The 7,104-nt window shown below is 46.1% G+C and overlaps 1 protein-coding gene across 1 annotated transcript, besides 3 other annotated features; it reads left to right on the top strand.

Annotated features, from left to right (window-relative positions):
* Positions 2,041 to 3,913: a promoter, noted in NCBI's record as "1.9 kb HindIII fragment". NCBI's record gives the evidence for it as "EXISTENCE:reporter gene assay evidence [ECO:0000049][PMID:7659503]".
* Positions 2,041 to 4,297: a biological region, named in NCBI's record as "ZNF80-LTR promoter". NCBI's record gives its function as "regulatory_interactions: ZNF80".
* Positions 2,584 to 4,297: a mobile genetic element.
* On the top strand, positions 3,860 to 6,807 carry ZNF80 (zinc finger protein 80). Its single transcript, NM_007136.4, has one exon. The coding sequence runs from the start codon at positions 4,364 to 4,366 to the stop codon at positions 5,183 to 5,185; it is 822 nt and encodes a 273-aa protein (NP_009067.2). The 5' UTR covers positions 3,860 to 4,363; the 3' UTR covers positions 5,186 to 6,807.
* Positions 6,808 to 7,104: the final 297 nt, after the last annotated feature.

The raw sequence follows: 7,104 nt of genomic DNA, 5'->3' as shown, positions 1-7,104 counted from the left end.
TGAGAGTCTATAGTCACATTGGTTAAGTCATCCACAGGATTCCTTGTGAGAAACCCCCTGAGAATTTCCAGAGAGCAGACTCTGGGCATTGTTACTGATATGATCTAATTCGTACCAACTTTTTGCTGAGATAGTCACATTACTTACAAGCTTTGCTACTGACAGCTCAAATGAGAGAAATTTTTTTTATCATTTTTAGGAGCTGTTTTATATCATTAAAACCATATGCTGAAAGACAAATTCATTAAAGAAAAAAATAGACATTTCCAAGAAATAAAACTAATGCATTTTGTAACCGCCCACATGATCATGGTTAGATTGCATGTATTTAGTGATCAGCTTTCTTTAACTCTTTTTTTTTTCTCAAGACAGAGTCTTGCTCTGTTGCCCAGGCTGGAGTGCAGTGGCACCATCTTAGCTCACTGCAACCTCCGACTCCCAGATTCAAGTAATTCTCCTGCCTCACCCTCTTGAATAGCTGGGATTACAGGCACGTACCACCACGCCCAGCTAATTTTTGTATTTTTAGGAGAGATTGGGTTTCGCCATGTTGGCCAGGCTGGTCTCAAACTCCTGACCTTGTGAACCGCCTGCCTTGGCCTCCCAAAGTGCTAGAATTACAGGCCTGAGCCACCGCGCCCAGCTCTTTAACTCTTAAAAATAAGCACAACAGAGACCAGGAATGACACTTTGAGAACCACTGCTGGAGAGAACTTCACCATCAAATGTGCAGCGTCCTAAGAATGATGAAGGCACTGTCCCTGGCAAGACAGTTCAGAACCGATTCAGAAGAGCTCATGCATAGCAGCCTAAGTCATTGCCATCCACTATTGCCTCCCATCTTGGGGAGACTCTTGCTGTCTGGATAACACAGCTGAGCCTTCTGCCTTGTATTGTGACTGTACTGATTTGTTCCAAATACTTTGGGTGAGAAAACTCTGTTGGATTTTTCAGTTAGCATGTCTGCCTGCTCTTTTATTTCTCTGACCCCAATATTTATATCTTATAAAACTAATCAAGCTGGTGATACCAGTAAAATTTCACACTACACACATTCTTAATTATGAAACATTAGAAGAATTTTTTTTAATCAGCAAAATGAAAATGGCATTTGATAGCACCTCTTCTTTTCAATATAGTAGATAGAGGTTCTGGCCAGCACAGAAGAAAGAAAAATAAAACAAAGTATAAGTATTTGCTAAAAGTCAACGTGCCAGGCCACCTCACTGGGAGAACTGCAATATCAGCGTCTTTGGGTCTCTCCTCTTGAGCTGATTAGATTCTGAGAGAGGAACATTCCAAACAGCTGCTATGACGAGCAAAGAGGGGTGGAGTGAGGGGTCCATATGTCAGTGACCATCAGTTCTCTTCTTCAGTATTCGCCAGAACTGTCCAATTTGCTTCTCATTCCCTGGTTCCAAGATCCTCTCTTCACTTTAAAAACCAGCTGCATTTTGGGAAGGGGAGGGCAGTGGATCAGGGTCTTGCTCAAAGCTCAAGCCACTGCCACCAATCTCCATATGATGGCTTCCACTCCTCACCAGCTCCAGAGCGATTTGGTGCTGTTACACCCTTCATTTTTGAGGATTCTGCAACATAAACTGTGATGCTTCCCTGGCTCCCCTGGGAGAAGTACTGGACGGCAGCAGTCCCAGGCGGCTGAACAATGTTGTATTCTGTGTAGCGGCCATCCTCTTTCCTGAACTCTCTCCAGGTGTTTGCTAATGTGAGCATTCTGGAACACATTTCCTGGTACATGTGGGAAAGCTTTGTTTTGGAAAGACCTTTAGGACATAGGACCAAACTTTTCCAAAGTGATTTTACTAATTACAGAACCATCCACAACATAAAAGAGATCCTGAATTTCCATGTCTTCTCCACACTGAGTATTTTGACTGGATTGACTTTAATGGCCAGCCCCTTGGTACAGTTTATCGTGGGGTCAGCGGGTAAAATTAAGTGATAAGTGGGACACACTCTCTCCACGCCCTGCATGAACAGGTTCCTTACATGTATGTTCTTATGTGCACGTTTGTGCGCAAGCTTGCAGGTCGCCCCGACCCAACCGGCATCAACTTCCATTTAGAATAATTGAGGGTTAAATTCCCAGGAATTAAAAAATGAAACTGAGGCCTCTGAGACTTGTAGTTCGGCTGGCGGAGGCTGCACGCGGCTCTCTGGTATCTGTAGTCGGAAGTACTCTCTGCATATGCGGATGCAGGTGCCGCGTGGCTTTTGTCTTGCTCCATTGCAGCGACATCCGAGGCAGTGGTGCAGGACATGTCCATGATCTTAACCTGGAAGAAGTGGGAGCAGCTGGACCAGCCCCAGAGGACCCCGTACTGGGAGGTGACACCAGAGACCTGCAGACCACTCGTCACGGGGGCATGCAAACCACAGTTGACCTACTAGCTGAAGCAGTGATAAAAGAGCAGAAAATACCTTTGCTAAAGCTGCTGTCCAGGTGACAAAGTAAAAGCCAAAGCCAGCCAGCCTTGTCCTAGGGAGCCTTGCTCCTGGAAAGACTAACTCAGGGAGCCAGAAGTTCCTCCAGGTTGAGGTGAGTGAGGGAAAGAGTGGTTGTGAGAGGTGACAGCGTGCTGGCAGTCCTCACAGCCCTCGCTCGCTCTCGGCGCCTCCTCTGCCTGGGCTCCCACTTTGGCGGCACTTGAGGAGCCCTTCAGCCCACTGCTGCACTGTGGGAGCCCCTTTCTGGGCTGGCCAAGGCCGGAGCCGGCTCCCTCAGCTTGCAGGGAGGTGTGGAGGGAGAGGAAAGAGCGGGAACCCGGGCTGCACGCGGCACTTGCGGGCCAGTTGGAGTTCAGAGTGGGCATGGGCTTGGCGGGCCCCACACTCGGAGCAGCCGGCCGGCCCTGCCGGCCCCAGGCAATGAGGGGCTTAGCACCCGGGCCAGCGGCTGCGGAGGGTGTACTGGGTCCCCCAGCAGTGCCAGCCCACCGGCGCTGCACTCGATTTCTTGCTGGGCCTTAGCTGCCTTCCCGTGGGGCAGGGCTCGGGACCTGCAGCCCGCCATGCCTGAGCCTCCCACCCCCTCCGTGGGCTCCTGTACGGCCCGATCCTCCCCGATGAGCGCCGCCCCCTGCTCCACGGCACCCAGTCCCATCGACCACCCAAGGGCTGAGGAGTGCGGGTGCATGGCGCAGGACTGGCAGGCAGCTCCACCTGCAGCCCCGGTGCGGGATCCACTGGGTGAAGCCAGCTGGGCTTCTGAGTCTGGTGGGGACATGGAGAACCTTTATGTGTAGCTCAGGGATTGTAAATACACCAATCAGCACCCTGTGTCTAGCTCAGGGTTTGTGAATGCACCAATGGACACTCTGTACCTAGCTACTCTGGTGGGGCCTTGGAGAACCTTTATGTCTAGCTCAGGGATTGTAAATACACTGATCAGCACTCTGTATCTAGCTCAAGGTTTGTAAACACACCAATCAGCACCCTGTGTCTAGCTCAGGGTTTGTGAATGCACCAATCTACACTCTGTATCTAGCTACTCTGGTGGGGCCTTGGAGAACCTTTATGTCTAGCTCAGGGATTGTAAATACACCAATCGGCACTCTGTATCTAGCTCAAGGTTTGTAAACACACCAATCAGCACCCTGTGTCTAGCTCAGGGTTTGTGAATGCACCAATGGACACTCTGTATCTAGCTACTCTGGTGGGGACTTAGAGAACCTTTATGTCCACACTCTGTGTCTAGCTAATCTAGTGGGGACGTGGAGAACCTTTGTGTCTAGCTCAGGAATTGTAAACACACCAATCAGCGCCCTGTCAAAACAGACCAGGCCTCTACCAATCAGCAGGATGTGGGTGGGGCCAGATAAGAGAATGAAAGCAGGCTGCCGGAGCCAGCAGTGGCAACCCGCTGGGGTCCCTTTCCACACTGTGGAAGCTTTGTTCTTTCGCTCTTTGCAATAAATCTTGCTACTTCTCACTCTTTGGGTCCACACTGCTTTTACCAGCTGTAACACTCACCGCAAACGTCTGCAGCTTCACTCCTGAAGCCAGCGAGACCACGAGCCCACCGGGAGGAACGAACAACTCCAGACGCGCCGCCTTAAGCCTTAAGAGCTGTAACACTCACCACGAAGGTCTGCAGCTTCACTCCTGAGCCAGCGAGACCACGAACCCGCCAGAAGGAAGAAACTCCGAACACATCCGAACATCAGAAGGAACAAACTCTAGACGCGCCACCTTAAGAGCTGTAACACTCACCACAAGGGTCCGCGGCTTCATTCTTGAAGTCAGTGAGACCAAGAACCCACCAATTCCGGACACAGTTGGAAATGCAGAAGGGCACTTGAGTTTGGCTGCAGTCTCCCACACGGAGACCTTCTGGAGGAAGATGAGCCCTAAACGCGATGGGTTGGGGACAGGTGATGGTCTGCACTCACAGGTTTTACAGGAGCAGGTCTCCACAGGAGACAATCTCCATGAATGTGACTCCCAGGGACCAAGTAAAGACACTTTGGTTCGTGAGGGGAAGACCTACAAATGCAAGGAATGTGGGAGCGTGTTTAACAAAAACAGCCTCCTTGTTCGACATCAGCAGATTCACACTGGGGTGAAGCCTTATGAATGCCAGGAGTGTGGAAAAGCCTTTCCTGAAAAGGTCGACTTCGTTCGACCCATGAGGATTCACACAGGGGAGAAGCCCTGTAAGTGCGTGGAGTGCGGGAAGGTCTTCAACCGCAGGTCGCACCTCCTGTGCTACCGCCAGATTCACACTGGAGAGAAGCCCTATGAGTGCAGCGAGTGTGGAAAGACCTTCAGCTATCACTCTGTCTTCATCCAGCATCGTGTGACCCACACTGGAGAAAAACTCTTTGGGTGCAAAGAATGTGGAAAAACCTTTTACTACAACTCTTCCTTAACCCGGCACATGAAGATTCACACTGGAGAGAAGCCCTGCAAGTGCAGTGAGTGCGGGAAGACCTTCACCTACCGCTCTGTTTTCTTCCGACATAGTATGACCCACACTGCAGGAAAGCCCTACGAGTGCAAAGAATGTGGGAAAGGTTTTTACTACAGCTATTCCCTCACTCGACATACAAGGAGTCACACTGGAGAGAAACCTTATGAGTGCCTTGAACATAGAAAGGACTTTGGCTACCACTCTGCTTTTGCCCAACAGAGTAAGATCCACTCTGGAGGAAAAAACCTTTGAGTGCAAATGATGTGGGAATTTGTGGGTTTTCTTTTTTTTTTTTTCTTTGATACATAGAGAGCCACACTGAGGAGAAGCACTCTGAATTCAGTGGCAGTAGGAAAGCTGTGACCTGCAGCTCATCCTCACTTGGCATTGAAGAATTCCTTCCAGAGATAAACTCTATGAGATATGTGGGAAGGCCTTTTGCAAGTGGGCCCACATCAGTCAACGTCAGAGAACTTAAACTGCGAAAAGACATTTTGACAAAAACTAGTGAAGAAAATCTTTTGGCCACAGGAAATATCTTCCTCAGCATCTGAGAATTTTTCCAGGAGGGAGACCTGTTGGTTATTGTGCACTTAAAAGAACCACCCACACCTCTCTCCATAGTTTATATCACTAAGCCACTTCAGGATTTTTTTTTTTTAAGTAAGAAGGGAACTGTAAAAGAGAAAAAAAGAAATTCATGCATAGCTTCTGTCAGACTTCTCTGAAAGCCATGCCTATCAAAATTTGAATTCAGTTCTTCATTTTGCAGATGGCTGAAAGGTACAAAGGCCTTGCCTCGTTATTTGTCCTTTATATGTATTCACTCCTGTCTACAGGAGAATTGTCCTCTGTAAAGATTAACTCTGTAAAGATTTATTGAATGCATTCTTTGTTCTAAAACATTGTACTCCTGAGGAATGTAAGTCTTTGTGAGAAATATGAACGCTTAAGTAATGGAATATGTGAAACTTGTAAGAACGTAGAATATAAAAATACTGCCATATAAAATCCTTTCATATCTGAGGAGGTAAGTAACCACATTGAATGGGCATATTTTGCTACATCATTTAAGACTACTTAAGGCTTTAATTTAACAAAAAACAATTCTTCATGTGGTTTTGAACACCCAGTGCTCAATATACTTGTTTGTTTTGATTTATTTTCTCAGGGACGAGAGAATGATGGTGAAGCTGTGTTGCTTTCCCAGGTGAGCCTTGATTATTTCCTCTGTGCTTTCTCAGCTTCTTTGGCCTTCTGTAAGAGGGGCTTCTCCAAGAGCATGTCACTAGTTTTCTAGAAGTTAAACAAGAGCTAAGACAAACAAAACAAAACACAGCTTATCTAATCTAATGAGAAACTCAGAAAAAAATGTTTTGATGAATACAATGTATTAAAATATAAAACATGTAGATCCTTTGACATGTTAATTCAATTCTAGAAATCCTCAGAAATGTTTTTATATTATGCAGAGATGTGCGTGCAAAGAATAATCGCTGCAGTTTTGTTTTTATGTGTGAAACGTTGAGAACAATCTAAATGTTTATCAGTTGGAAGTAAGTTATGGTACATCTGTTCTATGAAATACTGTGAAACAATAAGGTATCTCTGTATGTACTGATATCAAAACATCTCTAAGATACAGTATTTAGTAAAAGAGAAAGTTTCAGGAAATAAAACTACATCTAGAAGTATAAGCATAAAACTGTTAATAGTGGTTTTCTGCAGGAAATGGGATGGACCAGGGTTATATGCAATGTTCAGTTTTTACTTTTATACTTAAGTATTGTTTATGTTTGAAAAATAAAAAGCATTTATTGTTTTTGCAATAAATGTTTAAAATATTTCAATAAAGATAGCATGTTAGAATAAAAGTGACTTCTATTATTTCTTAAAAAGCGTACATTTTACAGGGTGTTTTTTTTTAAGTCCTGGTCTTATTATGCCTTAAAAAAAATAACAGACCAAGGATCCAGAGCTACCTAATCACATTTAATAAATGATAATATAATTTTTTTGTTTGCTTGTTTGTTTGTTTGTTTTTGAGATGGAGTCTCACTCTGTCACCCAGGCTGGAGTGCAGTGGCGCATGTCGGCTCACTGCAACCTCTGCCTCCTGGGTTCAAGTGATTCTCTTGCCTCAACCTCCCAAGTAGCTGGGACTACAGGCA

Source organism: Homo sapiens, chromosome 3 (genome assembly GCF_000001405.40).
Source record: "Homo sapiens chromosome 3, GRCh38.p14 Primary Assembly".
Taxonomy (NCBI): Eukaryota; Metazoa; Chordata; class Mammalia; order Primates; family Hominidae; genus Homo; species Homo sapiens.
This window is presented reverse-complemented; position numbering and strand designations above follow the sequence as displayed.